The 16,662-nt window shown below is 52.6% G+C and overlaps 1 protein-coding gene and 1 pseudogene across 10 annotated transcripts in view, besides 9 other annotated features; both read right to left on the bottom strand.

Annotated features, from left to right (window-relative positions):
• The window catches only part of PDGFRA (platelet derived growth factor receptor alpha), a 68,953-nt gene extending 62,949 nt beyond the window's left edge, over positions 1-6,004 (bottom strand). For 4 of the 10 annotated variants that reach the window (NM_001347828.2, NM_006206.6, XM_006714041.4 and 1 more), the window contains exon 1: positions 5,882-6,004. Coding sequence is in view for 2 of the 10 variants with exons in the window: in NM_001347830.2 (NP_001334759.1) it covers positions 799-825 (27 nt within the window). In the remaining 8 variants the exon portion in view is untranslated. Of the gene's footprint in view, positions 1-798; positions 1,338-1,853; positions 2,198-3,125; positions 3,329-4,690; positions 5,431-5,881 lie in introns of those variants that run through there. The other 6 variants (NM_001347830.2, XM_017008281.2, XM_047415767.1 and 3 more) reach the window with 5 other exon arrangements.
• Positions 765-872: a silencer, noted in NCBI's record as "fragment chr4:55100592-55100699 (GRCh37/hg19 assembly coordinates)". NCBI's record gives its function as "represses an EF-1alpha promoter that drives an FKBP-Casp9 reporter gene in an ReSE screen in K562 erythroleukemia cells {active_cell/tissue: K562}" and the evidence as "EXISTENCE:reporter gene assay evidence [ECO:0000049][PMID:32094911]".
• Positions 937-986: an enhancer, noted in NCBI's record as "active region_21572". NCBI's record gives its function as "activates an Ori minimal core promoter by ATAC-STARR-seq in GM12878 lymphoblastoid cells {active_cell/tissue: GM12878}" and the evidence as "EXISTENCE:reporter gene assay evidence [ECO:0000049][PMID:35858748]".
• Positions 1,424-1,974: an enhancer, noted in NCBI's record as "H3K27ac-H3K4me1 hESC enhancer chr4:55099490-55100040 (GRCh37/hg19 assembly coordinates)". NCBI's record gives its function as "activates a minimal SCP1, AML or CMV promoter by ChIP-STARR-seq in primed H9 embryonic stem cells {active_cell/tissue: H9 hESC(primed)}" and the evidence as "EXISTENCE:reporter gene assay evidence [ECO:0000049][PMID:30033119]".
• Positions 1,494-1,613: an enhancer, noted in NCBI's record as "active region_21571". NCBI's record gives its function as "activates an Ori minimal core promoter by ATAC-STARR-seq in GM12878 lymphoblastoid cells {active_cell/tissue: GM12878}" and the evidence as "EXISTENCE:reporter gene assay evidence [ECO:0000049][PMID:35858748]".
• Positions 1,834-1,943: a silencer, noted in NCBI's record as "silent region_15435". NCBI's record gives its function as "represses an Ori minimal core promoter by ATAC-STARR-seq in GM12878 lymphoblastoid cells {active_cell/tissue: GM12878}" and the evidence as "EXISTENCE:reporter gene assay evidence [ECO:0000049][PMID:35858748]".
• Positions 6,706-7,531: an enhancer, noted in NCBI's record as "H3K4me1 hESC enhancer chr4:55093933-55094758 (GRCh37/hg19 assembly coordinates)". NCBI's record gives its function as "activates a minimal SCP1, AML or CMV promoter by ChIP-STARR-seq in naive H9 embryonic stem cells {active_cell/tissue: H9 hESC(naive)}" and the evidence as "EXISTENCE:reporter gene assay evidence [ECO:0000049][PMID:30033119]".
• Positions 8,360-9,185: an enhancer, noted in NCBI's record as "H3K4me1 hESC enhancer chr4:55092279-55093104 (GRCh37/hg19 assembly coordinates)". NCBI's record gives its function as "activates a minimal SCP1, AML or CMV promoter by ChIP-STARR-seq in naive H9 embryonic stem cells {active_cell/tissue: H9 hESC(naive)}" and the evidence as "EXISTENCE:reporter gene assay evidence [ECO:0000049][PMID:30033119]".
• Positions 8,654-8,841: a silencer, noted in NCBI's record as "fragment chr4:55092623-55092810 (GRCh37/hg19 assembly coordinates)". NCBI's record gives its function as "represses an EF-1alpha promoter that drives an FKBP-Casp9 reporter gene in an ReSE screen in K562 erythroleukemia cells {active_cell/tissue: K562}" and the evidence as "EXISTENCE:reporter gene assay evidence [ECO:0000049][PMID:32094911]".
• Positions 9,186-10,013: an enhancer, noted in NCBI's record as "H3K4me1 hESC enhancer chr4:55091451-55092278 (GRCh37/hg19 assembly coordinates)". NCBI's record gives its function as "activates a minimal SCP1, AML or CMV promoter by ChIP-STARR-seq in naive H9 embryonic stem cells {active_cell/tissue: H9 hESC(naive)}" and the evidence as "EXISTENCE:reporter gene assay evidence [ECO:0000049][PMID:30033119]".
• Positions 13,825-14,174, bottom strand: RPL22P13 (ribosomal protein L22 pseudogene 13; annotated as a pseudogene).

Here is a 16,662-nt window from a genome sequence, read left to right as displayed (position 1 = left end):
ACTGAATATTGAATTTCACCCCACCCTCACATGATTAAAGACCACAGGAGACTCTCTCACAGCCCCAAAAGCCACTGGTGACTTCAAGATTCAGATTTCCGAGGCTCAGTTAATTTCAGCTCTCCTAAGTTAATTCTAACTGTGAAAATTACACATTTTCCTTTTTCTACGCAGTCTCCTAACTTCAGCCCAGGCAAACCAAGTGCAGGTCTACACTGGTGGAAACTTCTCCCTGTTTTCCAGCAGAGGGTGTGTTTACCAGGACCTCTGCACCCTACCAGAGCCTGTTTTGTTGTTTTGATCTCCCGGAGCTCCATCAGACATTCCAGTAATGGGAGGGGGCTGGAGTGTTTTTAAACAGGAGCCTTTTATGGGACAATCTGGGCTCATAAACATGCCTGCTCTCCTCTCACCATATATTTAACCACGGGAGAATAAAATGACATATCCTTTTGAATATCACCAAACGGGTGTGACTCCTAATGGCACAACCTTAGGAGTAGCAGTAGCAGTTTGAGCATTCGGCTTGAGGTCACCAAGGCCCCGACATAGGTCTCCTCACTCAGAAACGGGAACATCAATGCCCCCCCACTACCCTCCTCACAGGCCAGCTCTGATAATAAGATGTTCACTATGTAAATGCAAAGCATTAACAACCAAGGAGAAACACAACACAAATTTCCACGAAATAAAAATGTTGTCTTCCAGCAATTCTTGTAGCCTCACAGCAAAAGAAAATCAGTCACCTATTACGGTCCTACTGAGCAAAAAATAAATAAAAAATAAAAAATAAAGCACCTTCCTAATGGTCTCCGCGAAGCCCATTCTCACAGCGGGTCGCAGTAGTTCTTACGAGTGGCCAGCAGATGGCAGTGTTGGTCCAAGGACGTGCGTCCACGGGTTGCGACACAGACGCCGCTGCGAGGAATTCTGAGCTCCACTACCCCAAATGTTAATTTCCAGTCTCTTCCTTCCTTAGGTTGTACTTTTAGCTTTCGTGGTGACCTCAGTTGAAAGCCCGCGGGGTTTAAGCAGAAATAGGAAAACTGCTGTTGAAAATGGCTAAATCTCCTCGGGACCCCAGGAGAATTCGGGGACATCTCCCCATCATCCCCATCATCATCCCCATCACCGGGAGCTGGTGCGCCGGGGCAGCGGGGCTTCGGGAAGACGTCTTCGGAGCCGGGAAGACGACGCTGCTGGGCTAGGCCGCAGAGGCTCAGCCGGACTCGCTACTAGGGTTCTGTGCAACCCACGCTCTCGCCACCTCAGCATTTCCGCCCCCTCGGGGCAGGGGGACCGCCTGGACCTCGACGCCGTTCCCGGGCCGCGCTGTCCTATCTGTCCGCGCGCCACCGCCGCCCCCATAAACCAGCCTGGCGAGGGCCGCGACGGCCGCGCAGCTGATTGGAAACGACTGTTACCGTTGCACAATAACGCAGGGTCGTAAAACAAACAAACAGCAACAGGCCGCCCGCGGGGCAAGGGAGCTGGCGAGGGGCTGGAACGCAGAAGACGGCGCCTGCCCCCCAAGAACGCACGGGACCCGTCCTCCTCCACACTCCCCTGCTTCTCCCACATTGAATTACAAGGACGTCCCATTCTCAATCCAAACCCAGAGACCTCGGCCCCCTCTCGTCCACCCGGCGCCTCCCGGGCCCACACAGAGCCTGCGAGGAGTCCACTGGCTGCCCGGAGGAGGGGAAAGGTGACCCAGATTAGCCTCCGCTCCGGGCCCCCGGGGTTCCAGCGCTGCGCTCCACTGAGATAGCGGCGCCGACCGCCCGGGGCTGGGGAAAGCGGGATGCGTCCCCGGAGCCCACTAGAGGGCGCGACAGCCCCGCGAATCTTACCCGGCTCGCCAGCTAGCTCGCCCGCAGCCCAGGCTCCTGGTCCCCGACAGCGCAGCCGGGAGTGCTGCGCGCAGACTTCGCCCGGGAGGCTCTGCGCTCGGACTGTCCAGCCCCCGCCACTGTCCGGCTTCTGACCCCGGGACCCAGAGGAACACTGCGCGGTCCGCTCTCCCTCCCACCTCCACCAAGTCCTCGGCGGCTTGGTTGTCCCGGGGTTGGCGGCGATGCCCAGCCGCTCCGGGGACCTGCGCCCCTGCGCCCCTGCGCGCCGCGCTCTGAACCTCAGAGCTGCAGAGGCCGCTGCGCCCCAGGCACGACGCTCTGCGTTTGCATTGTTTTCAACTGAGACCCGAGAGGGGGCCGGGCGGGTGTGGAGAGAGGGGGGAGAGCGGGAAGAGAATCCGGGCGGGTGGGGGGAAAGGGGCCGAGGGGTTTAGGGTTACAGGAGCTCGCCAGCGCCTCCTATGGGCACGAGAGCCGCACGGCCGTGGGTAGCGGCTCACCGGGAATGCTGAGGAGAGCTAGCATGCGCCCTCTCGGCATTTAAGAACCGTTCCTGGCCGGGCGCGGTGGCTTACGCCTGTAAATCCCAGCACTTTGGGAGGCCGAGGTGGGCGGATCACCTGAGGTCAGGAGTTCGAGACCAGCATGGCCAATATGGTGAAACCCCGTCTCTACTAAAAATACAAAAATTAGCCTGGCGTGGTGGCGGGCACCTGTAATCCCAGTTACTCGGGAGGCTGAGGCAGGAGAATCGCTTGAACCTGGGAGGCAGAGGTTGCAGTGAGCCGAGATCGCACCACTGCACTTCAGCCTGGGCGACAGAGCGAGACTCTTGTCACACACACACACAAAAGTGCCTTCTGGTGCCACCTTGCCCGACACGCGCCATAGCCGCCTCTGCCCCCTCAAGAGTCCGCGCCCACCCGCGCTTGTCGCTCCCCTTTCGCGGGGGCCGAGAAACTGCAGTAGGAGGCAGGGAAGGAGGCGCCCCAAGTCGGGTTTCCCATTATTCCCTCCTACAATCTACTTTTTCAGCCCATCCCAGGTTCGCTCATTGATCAGTTTAAAACAAAAGGAAATGCCGCCGAGCCACTTCAGCAAACGACAACCATCTGGCAGAACCCGAATTAGGGGGAAGTTGGGAGAAGCCATTTGCCCCCGATCCTGCATCTTGCGCCCCAGGCGAGACCGAAAGATTATCTGCCGCCCCAAGGCTGATGCTGCGGTTGGACCCGGCGAGTTAGACCCGGGGAACCCTGAGACCCACACCTTTCGGTCACCGATCCGGCTTTTAGCTCTTTTCCTAGAATTGTCACTTTTCCACCAGCAACGTATAACCTGGTCGCAGCTCCCCGGAGGTCAAAGGGAGTACTTCCCTGTGGGGTCTGCAGGAAGGCGCTGGCCACCACGTCCCCAAAACGCGTCCCGCCGCTGCGCGCCGCCCACGGTCCGTCCCCAGGAGGCACAAAATGGGCCCGCCTCGGCGCCAGACGTGTTTGCAGCTGGAAAGCCCGGCCCAATGCCCCTCCCCCTGCATCCCTCCTCAGTCCGCGTCCCGAGAGGAAACTGGCCCAGGGGCGCAGAGCTGGGAGCCTGGGATCTCCTTCAAGTCCTTCTCGATCTAAGGATTTAAACAAGAGCCAGGGCACCGGGGGCTAACGACGGGTTCATTCTTGGCTTCCCCTCACTCTTGTGAACGAGGTCCAGCTGCACTTGGGTCAACCCAAAACTGCAAGCTCCGAAGCAGGGCCTGACCAGGGCGTCAAAGCGAGCCTGGTCGGCCTTGCGCCTGTCGGGGAGTCGAGGCAGGGCCTCCTCATCTTGAGGGTTGTGGAAAGGAGGAGGCCGAGGAGAAAGGGAGAAGAGGGGATGCAATTCAGCAGTGCCGGGGTCCAGGTTGACCAGATTAGGGGTCGGGGATGGGACAGCGCGGCGGCTGGGGAGGTGCGCACGCCCGGAGAGCCCCTTCCTCCCCTCCTGTGGCTCCGGGGATGTTTGTCCGGTGAGATGCACTGCGGAGGACTGTCGTGCGTTTGCCCTGGATGCTCCCTGCTCCAAAAATCTGTCTAGTTCTTGTCAGGAGCGACCGCGGCGAGGCGAGTCGGTCCAAAACATTGAGCAATTTGGCCTCGGAGCCAAAAAGCCATTTCCCACACCGCCCAGCCCGCGGCTTTTCGGACGCGGGGCGGTAGGGACCTGATATGGGCCCCATCCATGCTTGCCTCCCACCCAGGAAGATGGAGTGAGTGGCAAGTTCTTCCAGGCACTCCTTGCGCACATCCTGAGGTCTTAGCACAATTCGGGGAGCGAAGTGCGGGACCGGCGCTCTGGCTGCGGGAGGGATGCACAACGCACAGCCTGCCAGGCCAGCAAGTCCTTCCCGACCAAGACGCGAGGCCAGGCCATCGGCAGCTCTCGCACACCTGGCCCGGCCCAGGCTCCTGGCTCCCTCTGGCAACGTACTCGGGTTGGGCCACACTCGTCGCTCCGACCTGGCCGACACCCTCCCGGAATAGAACAGCTGATCCCACATATTCAATGCCAAATGGACGCCGCCCGCTCCCTGGGCGCAGCCGGGCGGAGTTAATTTCGTGTGTAAATCTGGTTTCCATGGGGGTAGACAGCAGAGGAAGGAGAAGTACGCACAGACGGCTCTGAAGCCGGCAGGGAGAGGAATGGAAAAAAGGCCAACTAGAGAGGACCGAGCAGCGCTGGGCGAGCTCAGACGGCAAGTGCCACGCACCCCCGCGCGGAGAAGGGTGCCGGGTAGGGGGTGTCCAGGGCTCGGGTGCCCGGAGGGAGAATATGGTTTACCTCCCACCTTTCTGTCTTACCTGCAAACAAGTTTCCCCAGTTCCAAGTCGTCCCTAACTTCCTCACAAGAAGTTCGGCACCTTCCTGGAGACCTTTCCTCTCTTCCTGCCTGCGGCCAGAACTGAGCGAAAGCAGAGCCCCCGGGCAATGCAGAAATGATTCCACCGAGGAGGGGGCGCGGGAAGACAGGCGGGGGCGGGGGCCACGGAGCACAATGAGGGCCCCTTGGTGTGCGGTTCGAAATTCCTCAAATCCCAGTTGCTGGAATGCGAGGCGACGACGACTTCTTCACTCAGGGCCAAATGTGTTTGTCATTATTCCAGACCGCCCGCCCGCGCCGCCGCTGTCGCCCCCGCGCTAGGGCGTGCAACCCGAGCACACTGCCCGGCAGGCACCCGCTCTCCCTGGCACCTCACTGACCCAACAAACCGCTCCAGAGCGCCCCAAACCCTTGCCCACGCCCGCGCGCCTCTGCTTGTCCCGCAGCCGCCTCACCGCCGCGCCAAATCTGGCCCCGACTCTCTCCCAGAGCAGCGCCGTCCAGTAATCACGCGCATTCGGCCGGCTCCCTGTGCTGTAGGCCAACACCGAGGTCCGGTCTCCAGCCGAGCCCAGCCCGCCTCCTGCGCCCCGCAACCCCTTCGCGCGCCCCCCTCCACGCTCCCCTCCACGCTCCCCTCTCCCCACCTCCCCCTGGTCCCCCAGCCGCGCTCCACACCATGGGCTGCAGCGCTGTCCCGCCAAACCGCAGGCGAGGAATGAAAACACTCATTTAAAACCTGTCGCCTTCCAGGACCCACTGCCAAGAAGAGGGCAAACACCTCTGCCTCCACCCCCAGTTCCTTGGTGTTCGGCCCAGTATTCACGAACACCACCCCCACTCCCAAAAGAAACCTCAAAAATGTAAGCCTAAACAATTTCTTTGGGAGGCCATAGGGTTGTTAGAAAAACATTGTTTTTAAAAATAGGTCTGGAAAATGTGTGTTTAAAAAAAATACCTAGACTTTCTAACTCTATGGTTATCTCCCACCCGTCCCCAAGTGAAGTTTATTCCGAAAAAAAAAAATTACTCTCTGGACACACAACTGGAATCCAGCTCCTTTTTTTTTTTCTTGTCGCCCAAAGTTTGAAGTTACTTCGCTTTCTCCAGTCCCAGAGTCTGATCAGGGACTTCCCTTATAAACAAAAAATCATTTTTTCTTTTCCCTTACCTTCTCCTCCGATGTTATTCCGCAATGAATGTCCCACACATGGAGTAAAGAGCGTGCCCACGGCCTCCAATGATCTCTTGCAGTCTCCTCCTCTGTTTCTCTCCCTGTAGCTCCAACAGTAATGGGCTCAAAAACCGCGTTTTGTAATTGATTCAATGTTATAGTCCATCCTTCTAAAACTAATCATTTGCTCTAAGTAAATAGCTGTCAGGAAATAAGCCCCCCCTCAACCTTGGTCTCTTCAAAATAAAAGTTTCTCTCAAACTCCCTGCGCTCCGAATCTCCCAGTGTCCAGATTGCGCCTTCGCTTTTTGCTCTTACGCAATCAGGGGGTCCAGTCCCAACCCCCAGACTTCGACAACAACTGGGGGGCGGGGAGAAGCAGACCAGATGGGATGGGGGGTGGTGGAAGGGGGAGGTGTTGGTGCTCTGCCGGGAAAGAGGTTTTGTGAAACTACAAACAGCCCATCATTTCCAGAATGAGTTTGCCTCCCCATTTTGGGGTTATTTTCTTAGACTGCTATAGTTTTGTATTCTCTTTGAAAAGAAGAAAAGGAACATACAAAATTGCATTTAATACCCAGAGAGAATATAAATCTAGAATCAAGAAATGTCCCTTCTACAAACTCGGCCCAACGAGAAATAGGGCCCTCGGGAGAAATCTCCAAGCGGTTGCGCCGTTTTGAACTAGGGGTCTTTTAGGGGAAGGGCTATATAGTTGCTAGTTATTTAATAGGATTGGGCAAACTGTTGAGTCCAATATGACAATGATGGGTTTTTGTTTTGTGTGGTGTGTGTGTGTGTACAAGACTGGGTGGTCTGAAATACGGTACAAAGAAAAGAGGGTCTGTGTAGGTTTGGAACGTTCTCCGATAGAACGACCTTTACTCCCTTGAAGTCACTTATCTGGTCGTGCCTTTGTTTTCGGGGTTATCTGGGCGAGGTTGCCCTGGCTTCTATCTCGCATACAAAAAAAGCTCAAGCTTGGGCGTTTGAGGAATCGTACCACCGCCTCCGCGTCGTGGGGGAGGATGCCTTTTGATTCTCCCTCCGTTCCCTCCCGCCGCGTGGGTCGAACCCTACGAATTCCTTGGAATTGACAGCTGAGCCCCAAACCCTGCGCCCAAGGCGAGAGGCCAGTGTCGGGAGGAAACGATCCTGCCGGCGAGGGAAAGGGGGCGCTGATGCTCCAGGAACCAGACCTGGGCAGAGTGGGGCTTCCCAGCGACAGCGGGGGAGGGGAGCGCGTTCACCTTCATCGCTCTCTGATTTTTGAATTCTCCTGTTGGGGTTGGGGGTCATCCTTCATCCTTCTCCCTCAACCCCACCCCAACACACGCACTCTGAAAATGGCCAAAGTGGCCAGGTTGGGACTGGCATGTCCAACAGCCGTCTCCTCCTTCACCAGGAGGGTGGACACAGTGCAGTGGACAGGGGAGAGTCACAGAGAAGTACTCCAACGGGCGCGGTGCTGTGCCTAACCAGGACAGGATCTTGGGATGTCAGCCTCGAAAACAGGGCGCCTGGGGCTGCGCTGGGGGTCCCATTGCCGCAGTTCTTCTACGCGACCCGCTCTCGTGCATCTTCAGCTTGGGTGACTGCACCGCTCGCTATTACTTCCACATGTCCCTTCAGGAAATCATTGAAGGCAAATATATGAACAGCCCCTTGTTCGGAATGCTAACAGGATACCGTAATGTTTGTAGAAAATGAGCGGGAACAAACGATCCCCCCAAAAATCAGAGTGCGGAATAAAAGGCAAAAGCGGGTGCTGGGCCACATGCTGTTAAGTTGAGAACCGGGTTTTTAGGCTAGTTGCCCCAGAGGGTAGGAGGCGAGACAGACAGCCTACCCAGAGGGGCTGCTTTGCTTCGGCGACACTGTTAGTCCGGTCAAGCCAGGGTCTTCCGTCCGCAGGGCCCCAGCGCTCTCCGCCCACAAATGGTAACTTCACAGTTCATTTCAGAGCCGTTTAATGGGGCCCGAGAAGCAGTCCGGGCGGGAGTGTCTCCAGGCAGCGACTCCTCGGGAGTTTAAAGCAGAAAGCAATGGATGAGCAAGCGAGCACCCAGTTGTCCTTCTGGTAGTAATTACCTGCCTAATTTGAATGATGCCTTTGTTATGATCATTAACAAACATTTGCTAAAGGTTTCCATGTGTGACATTCTGGAAGGTTTAAAGGCCTGAGGAGCTGACTCCAGGGATAGTGCCCCGGTGGGGGGTGGCGCAAGAAAGCAAATGGTTGGGGGAAAATTTTGCGGAGAGACTGTGCAAAGAAGAGAGGTCAACATCTGCCTCCTCTGCAAAAGCAAAATAAACCCAGTGGTCAGGAGCAACCTCCGGACAGGAGGCCCTCGAACCGAGGCGGTTGGTTCCTTAAACCGAGTCCTGCCCCCACAGCCCCCGCCCCTACCACTGCTCATAGGCGGGTTTGAATCCTGTTTTCCGCCTTCTAAGGCTGGTCCGAGGCTGGTTCGGGAGAAGTCGGGTCTGCGCCCGGCAGTCAGTCCGGGGCGTCGGGGGAAGGTGGGGCTAGTTCTTGCCGCGCTCTCCCAGTGTCGTTCTAAGATCCTTCGAGATCGGTCCCACGACGCCCCGGGTCCTGGGTGGTCCCGGAGCCGCAGGGGGCTAGAAACCTTGCCCTCCTGAGGCGGGCTGCGGGTCTTTTCTCCCCTTCTTGTGCTTCTCACTGGGCACCGTGTGGGGGGTGGGGGGAGGGGACCAGGCCACCATATGTACCCGGAGGAGAGGAGCGACATGCACTGGCCTGGGCAGCTCTGCGCAGATCTCAACCCGCGCCCGGATTCTAATTTTCAACCTCTTGGGGTTTTTTGTTTTGTTTTTTCCTTGAGGGATTATCAAGGGGTTAAGAATGTGGGTTTTCTCCCCAAAGTGGGAGTCGGGGAGGCTGCGAGCCGAGAGGAAGGAGGCCCAACTCCCGAATTGAGCCGGGCCGAGAAGTTGGGAGAAAAGGGTAGGGACTGTGACAGTTCTGTCCTCCGCCTTGCGCGTCTAGGCCAGCAGGCGACATGAAATTGAGGGCAAGGGTATAAAAAGGTGCAGTCGATTAGCTGACTTTCAAAAAGAAGGCCTCGTAAACTTTTTACAACCAGATCAAAATGGTCACTAAAAACAAAAGCAAAATCTCGCCGTGCCCTGCCCTGCCTCCAGGGCCCGTTCTCCTGGCCCCGACTCCCGGGCGAGGGCGGCCACAGCTCCGAGCGCCACACCTTTGGCTTTGAGGGCGCTTCCCACTGAGTTGGCTTTTTGTGTCTTCTCCTCCTCTGCCCCCCAGCTCCACCGCCAATTCTACTTTCCTTGAAGAATTCAGGTCCGTTTGCCCTAGAAGCCGTACGAATTTAACAGTTATCAAAGCCGTTAGTTGTGAAAATCACGTTTAAACTTGTGAATTCTTTTTTTCAAATGGTGATGGGCGGGGCAAGGGAACGGGGGATGTTTCTGGCTTCACAATTTGAAAATGAAGGGCCCGTTTGGTGGTTTGCAAAAGAAAACGGTGCTAACTGCTCCTTCTCCCACCCCCTTTAACCCTTGGCTGCATCTGGAATAGCCGCCTCCCTGGGTCCAGCGAGGAAGGGTCCTTTGCCCGGAGGTGGTGGAGGTGACGCACAGATGTGGGGGGTCCCCGCAGACAGAGAGACGCCCTGGCCTCTGGTCTGCCCCAGCTGAGGCTCGGAAGCTAGCTCTAAGGAGTCTCTTTGCACGCTCAGAATTCAGAACGGCACTAGTCCTGGAAAAGGAGGAATTCTCTAAAAAGATCGAGATGGGTCTGTGCAGCTTGAGGTGAAAGTTCCCTCCCCAGGACTCCGCACCCACCTTGCTGGCTGGATCTCAAGGTGCAGCCTCTCTTCTGGGTTTGGGGGGCTTGCTCTTCAGGAAGTAGAAGCAGAGGGTTCCTAACAACGCAGCCTGTTTACAGACCTGAGGACAAGAGCTTGTTTCCTGGTCCAGCCCAGCCCGGTGGGCCATACACTCCTTAGAGCCTGGGACAGACTGGTAGGACTGGAACCCTCTGGATCTGGCTTTTGGATACCCCCTCCCTCGCTAGAGAGCCCCCTTCCTCAGTTTAGGGATGTTGTTGTGCCTCTGCCCTCTCCTGCTCCTTAGGTCTTTGGTTTTAGTTGCTTTTAATTTGAAAAACCATATGAGGGGAGGGGGAAGGAACGAGGAGATTGGGAGGTCTGCTCTTTATTAGGGGCCCAGGCCTCTAGCTTTCCAACACACAGCTGTGGCTGGGAGGGGAAGGAGGGCTGGCTCTGTGTAGGTCAGCCTCACTGAAGAGAGGGACTTGTCCTCTGGAAGTCCCAGGAGTCCAGCACAGCCCTGTGATTTTTTTTTTTTTAATCCTTCAGCAGAGACACTGCAGTGGAAAACCAGTGGAACCTCGACTCTTTGCTCATCCATTAAAAGGGGCATAATCGACTAGGCATGGTGGCTGATGCCTGTAATCCTAACACTTTAGGAGGCCAAGGTGGGAGGAACACCTGAGCCCAGGAGTTTAAGACCAGCCTGGGCAACATAGTGAGCCCCCATCTCTATTTAAAATAACAGTAATGACCATTGGAATAATCATGCACAACGTATAGGGTTGTCTTGGGGATTAAGTAAGATAATATCCCAGGTAAATAAAGCGGTTCATATGCAAACTTAAGATGTACAAGGCCATGTGTCAAGGGCTAAGGATACAGCCCTTTCCTCCTAGATTTTATGGACTAGTGGAGCAATCAATTAGACATAAAGTTGCAACTTAGCGTTCTAAGCAATGTTGGAGAGAGACAATGAAGTCAGCACACAGGAGGAGCCTAACCCAATCTGGGAGATGGGAGACGGCTTCTTTCAGGGAAGGCTTCTCTGAGAATCTAAGAGGAATAAGAATCTAGTTGGGGAGGAACCTCATTGCATGGGCGGGGAGGTGAGAGAGAACATGAGATAATCAGAAGTGAAAGGAGTTTGGAATGGCCACAACTTGTAAAGGTCCGGAGCGGAAGGAGCAAAAAAGAGGTGAGATGGAGCTCATGGAGGCCTTCTAGACCATGTTAAATGTCTAGGCTTGCAGAGATGGGAGGATCGATGGAAGGTTCCAGGCCAGAAGTTCAAAACCAGAATGGACAACATAGTGAGACTCCATCTCTACAAAAAATTTAAAAATTGACCAGATGTGGTGGTGCACACCTGTATTCCCAGCTACTCAGGAGGCTGAAGCAGGAGGAATGCATGAGCCCAAGAGTTCGAGGCTGAGGTAAGCTATGATCGCACCACTGCGCTCCAGCCTGGGAGACACAGCAAGACACCATCTCTAAAAAATAATAAGGCTGGGTGCAGTGGCTCACACCTGTAATCCCAGCACTTTGGGAGGCTGAGGTGGGGAGATCACGAGGTCAGGAGTTCAAGACCAGCCTGGCCAACACTGAAACCCCGTCTTTACTAAAAATACAAAAATTAGCCAGGCATGGTGGTGTGTGCCCATGGTCCCAGCTACTCAGGAGGCTGAGGCAGGAGAATCACTTGAACCCAGGAGGCAGAGGTTGTGGATAGCCGAGATCACGCCATTGCACTCCAGCCTGCGCAACAGAGCAAGATTCAATCTCAAAAAAAAAATTAATTAATTAATAAAAAGGAAAACAATTGACAAAAGAACCTGGGCTTAATTCTATGGAAGTATATGGTTTAAAGAGGGGCAAGACAGGAACAGAGTTGAACATTTAGCAAGATCAGCCTGGATGATCTCAGGAGATAGGGAGGCTCCTGCTATAATCTAGCAAGAGAGGATGCTTCCCTGTTCCTGGGGGATAGCAGGAGTTTGGAGAAAATGAAGAGTGAATTAGAGAGAAGGAAGTAGAAAGCCTAGCACTCACTGAAAATGTGAACTGTGAGGGAGAGTGGGGTGCCTGGCTGAGGCCATGGCTGGTGCTGTCTACTCAGCAGGGGGACAACCAGGAACTGGGTTAGAAAGGAAAGGATGGGCCGGGCATGGTGGCTCATGCCTGTAATCCCAGCGCTTTGGGAGGCTGAGGCAGGCGGATCACTTGAGGTCAGGAGTTGGAGACCAGCCTGACCAACATGGAGAAACCCCATCTCTACTAAAAATACAAAATTAGCTGGTAGCCTGTAATCCCAGCTACTTGGGAGGCTGAGGCAGGAGAATATCTTGAACCCAGGACAGGGAGGTTGTGGTGAGCCAAGATCGCGCCATTGCACTCCAGCCTGGGCAACAAGAGCGAAACTTCATCTCAAAAAAAAAGAAAGAAGAACAAAAAAAAAAGAAAAGAAAGGATGAGTCCACTTTTAAACATGACACATTTGAAAAAGCTCAAGAAGGATTAAAATGAGAGAAAGAAAAAGAAACAGGACAGAATTTGGGGTAACTCCAGCATTTTCCAATAAGCAAAGAAGATTGTGAGAAGGAACAGCCAGGAATCTTTATCTCCTGGATAGTCAGCTGTTGTCTCTGAATCCATAGGATGAGAGTTGGTTGAATTTAAAGACCTGTGTAAACTTATCATCTAAATTCAACATTATTTGGGAAGCTGAAGTGGGAGGAGGCTTAAGCCCAGGAGTTCAAGGCTTTAGTGAGCTATGATCACACCACTGCACTCCAGCCTGGGTGACAGAGTAAGACCCTGTCTCTAAAGAGAAAGAGAGAGAGAGAGAGAGAGAGAGAAGGAAGGAAGGAAGGAAGCAGGGAAGGAGGGAGGGAGGAAAGAAAGAAAAAAAAAAAAAAAGAAGGAAGGAGAGAGAGAAAGAAAGAAAGACGGATGTGACATTATACAATATGTCTGGTGACTTTTTACAACAACATAAGAGCTTTAGTGATAATATAATTGGCAAAACTAGATTATTTTTCCCTCATTTGTACTCTTAAATAGACTTTTGTGGCCAGGTGCAGTGTCTCATGCCAGTAATCCCAGCACTCTGGGAGGCTGAGGCGGGTGGATTCCTTGAGTTCAGGTGTTCAAGACCAGCCTGGGTGACATAGTGGAACCCCATCTCTACTAAAAATACAAAACATTAGCTGGGCGTGGTGGCAGGCACCTGTAGTCTCAACTACTCGGGGAGGCTGAGGTGGAAGAATCACCCAAGCCCAGGAGGTCAAGGCTGCAGTAAGCCGAGATCATGCCACTGCACTCCAGCCTGGGTGACAGAGTGAGACCCTGTCTCAAAATCAAACAAACAAAAAAAGTAGACATTTGTATCCACATTTGGATTTCAAATCACCCAAAGACCCAAAGCAGGATTAAAGCCAATCCTTGTCTTAAGGACACTAGCTTTCTACCAGCTACCACTCCCACCCCTCACCATGCCCTGGAGAGACTGAGGCAGGACTCATTTTCAGGAACAAAAAAATATATGTTCAATTCCAGTGAAGTAGATTGCATATTGCATATTGGCCTCCAGTAATCATTCTCCTTTCCTTCTCAGTAATAGAGTCCTTGATTTTTAATTTTAGTTTGTTTTTTTTCCCCCCGGAACAGAAGTCTTCCTTTCACCAACTTTTTTGCAGGTCGATGTGTCATGAAGAAAAGTTCTGGCCAACAAGATGTAAGCACGAGTTGTGGGTGCAACTGCTAAAAAGCGTCTTTAAAAAAAGGATGCATCCTTCTCAGTCTGGTCTTCTTGCTGAGTAGAAAGCAGGTGTGTGAGTGGGGCCTCAGCAGCCAATTTAGACTATGAGGCCACCTTGAAAAGGGAAACTGAGCACTGTGGTACTACCAAGTAGAAGATCCCTCACCCTTAAGCCCCAAACAAACCTTGATAAGCTACCTCCTGCCTTCTTGAAAATGTAACAGAAATAAAATTGTCTCTCTTTTTTTTAAGGGTGCATTTTTTAAAATTCACTGATAAACTAAAAGCCAATTTCTTGGTATTTCTCACATATACTTCATTTATTTTATTAATCAGCAAAGCCCTATAAGGGAAGCCTTTGCCTAGTCCTCCGACTCTGCTTCATCTTCTTGACTAATCTGGAAGTAACAAAGTTTGTAAGTCTCCTGTCAGATGCAACCACTCGAAGCCAATCATGAAGACTGCTCTTCTTAAGGTATTTCTTGGTAAGGTATTTCAAATACCTTTTAGAGAACTGTTTCTCAGAAAGAACTGTGATTTTATTCTTGAAGCGTTCAATGTGAACAACATTCCCGAGATATCCAGCCTTCTCCCGTAGAAATTGTTCAAAATTTCCAGAATCAAAAATTCCATCTTCTGCTGGATGAGTAAGGTCCAAATTAAACTTCCAGGTTGACCTCTTGGGCTTCTTGTCTTTCTGAGATGCCCTCATGAGTCGGCCATGCCAGCAGAGAGAAAATTGTCTCTCTTTTTTTTTTTTGAGATGGAGTTTCGCTCTTGTCACCCAAGCTGGAGTGCAATGGCGCAATCTCGGCTCGCTGCAACCTCCGCCTCCCAGGTTCAAGCAATTCTCCTGCCTCAGCCTCCCGAGTAGCTGGGATTACAGGCATGCACCACCACGCCCAGCTAATTTTTTTGTATTTTTAGTAGAGACGGGATTTCTCCACGTTGGTCAGGCTGGTCTCGAACACCCAACCTCAGGTGATCCACCCGCCTCGGCCTTCCAAAGTGCTGGGATTACAGGCGTGAGCCACTGCACCTGGCCTCTTTTTTTTTTTTTTTTTTGAGACCGGGTTTCACTCTGTTGTCCAGGCTGGAGTGCCTTGGTGAAATCATGGTTCACTGCAGCCTCAACCTCCTGGGCTCCTGCATTGGCCTCCCAAAGTGCTTGGATTACAGGTGCGAGCCACAAATTTAGGCCAGTGCCTGGCCTAAAATTCTACCTTCTCTCTCTCTTGTTAAGCCACTTATTTTGATTTTTTTTTTCTATTACTTACAGCCAACCTTAACAATCCTAACTAATAAAGTCAAAAATGGTTTACTCATTCTAACTCCAAATGCAATCACCCTCACTCAAAAATGAAATCTGGGGTATAGCAGGGCTGAAAACACACACCCAGCTACATAACATCCCAGGAGGCCTACCAAGGCTGGGTGCCTCTCTGCTGACCTACTCACATTTATAACTTTCCTGTGGGATTTTAAATGTATGTGTGTCTTTCCCAGCATTCAATTCATACTTGCTGCCTGTTTAACTAAATTTTTCTTTGGATAGTCAGTGATACAGAAGGAAAGCTGAAGGACACACAAGAAGGAACACATTCGTTCTCTTTTCCGTATCTTTTCTCCTGGCCTCATATTTTCATTCCTCTTTATAGTCTTACCCTTACTCTGTATTCTATTCTTACAGTCTGCACACTTTTGGCCTTCTGTCTTTGTTGCCTCCAGAGCTTCCAGGTATTTTGTTATTGTTTAATTTTCAGTGCTTTAAAAATATGCCTTTAGAGGCCAAGCATGGTGGCTCACACCTGTAATCCCAGTACTTTAGGAGGCCAAGGAGGGTGGATCACTTGAGGTCAGGAGTTCAAGACCACCCTGGCCAACATGGTGAAACCCCATTTCACCTACAAGTAGAGAAATTAGCTAGGTGTGGTGGCATGTACCTGCCATCTCTGCTACTCGGGAAGCTGAGGCAGGAGGATCTCTTGAGTCTGGGAGGCTGAGGTTGCAGTGAGCTGAGATCATGTCACTGCACTCCAGCCTGTTTAAAAAAAAAATGCCTTTGTTAAGGTAAACATCCCACACATATTAAGATAATAGGACAGTCCTGCTGGTAAACCATCCCCCAGAGCTTAGGCCAGTTTCCATCAGGCCGTTGACAAAGAAATGTAGCTCCACGAGCCAGGAGATGGTGATTCCTGCTTGACTTGGGATCTGAGTGGGGGAATTCTGGGCTTCTCTCCTCTTCGCTGCACTGTGGTTACAGATGTGCACTGGCCACCTGGGTGCTAATCTCAGCCCTTCACCTCACTATTCCTGAGTCTTTAATCAGGTATTTTTTTCTGCTTATAATCTGAATGAAGGGTTCCCTCACAGCCCTAAGATAAGAATCAGGCCAGGCACGGTAGCTCACGCCTGTAATCCTAGCACTTTGGGAGGCTGAGGCGGGTGGATTACCTGAGGTCAGGAGTTCGAGACCAGCCTGACCAACATGGTGAAACTCCGTCTCTACTAAAAATACAAAAATTAGCCAGGTGTGGTGGTGACCTCCTGCAATCCCAGCTGTTTGGGAGCCTGAGGCAGGAGAATCGCTTGAGCCTGGGAAGTGGAGGTTGCAATGAGCCGAGATGGCACCACTGCACTTCAGCCTGGGTGACAGAGTGAGACCCTGTCTCAAAAAAAAAAAAAAAAAAAACAGCACCAGCTCTCCTCTGCTGTCTGTCTCCTCAGCATTTACCCCCCTAGATTGTATCAGTTGACAAATATTTATTCAGCACCTCTTATACCAGGCACTGCGCTAGACTCTGGCATGCTGTCATGGACAAACAACCAACCACGGAGCTCAGCTTTGGACAGAGGAGACAGACGGAAAACAAACCAGGCCCTCATTAAATGGCAGGCGTGACTAGTGCTCTGTGGTCACCCAGTGCTGTGGGAGGCCATCGTCACTGTGGGAAGCCCAAGCTGGTCTGCTGCCTCAGGAAATCTTCTCTGAGGAGGTGATATTTATTTATTTATAATTGAAACAGTGTCTCCCTATGTTGCCCAGGCTGGTTTCAAACTCCGAAAATCAAAGCCTAATTCTCCCATTACAGCCTTACCAGTGCTGGGATTACAGGCATGCGCCGCTGCACCCCACAGTAGGTGATATTTAAAGCTTCGTGCAATTCTGAAGAAAGATGCCATATTCAGCTATTATT

This window comes from Homo sapiens, chromosome 4 (assembly GCF_000001405.40).
Source record: "Homo sapiens chromosome 4, GRCh38.p14 Primary Assembly".
Taxonomy (NCBI): Eukaryota; Metazoa; Chordata; class Mammalia; order Primates; family Hominidae; genus Homo; species Homo sapiens.
The sequence above is the reverse complement of the archived record's forward strand: the minus strand, read 5'-3'. Positions and strand labels throughout refer to the sequence as shown.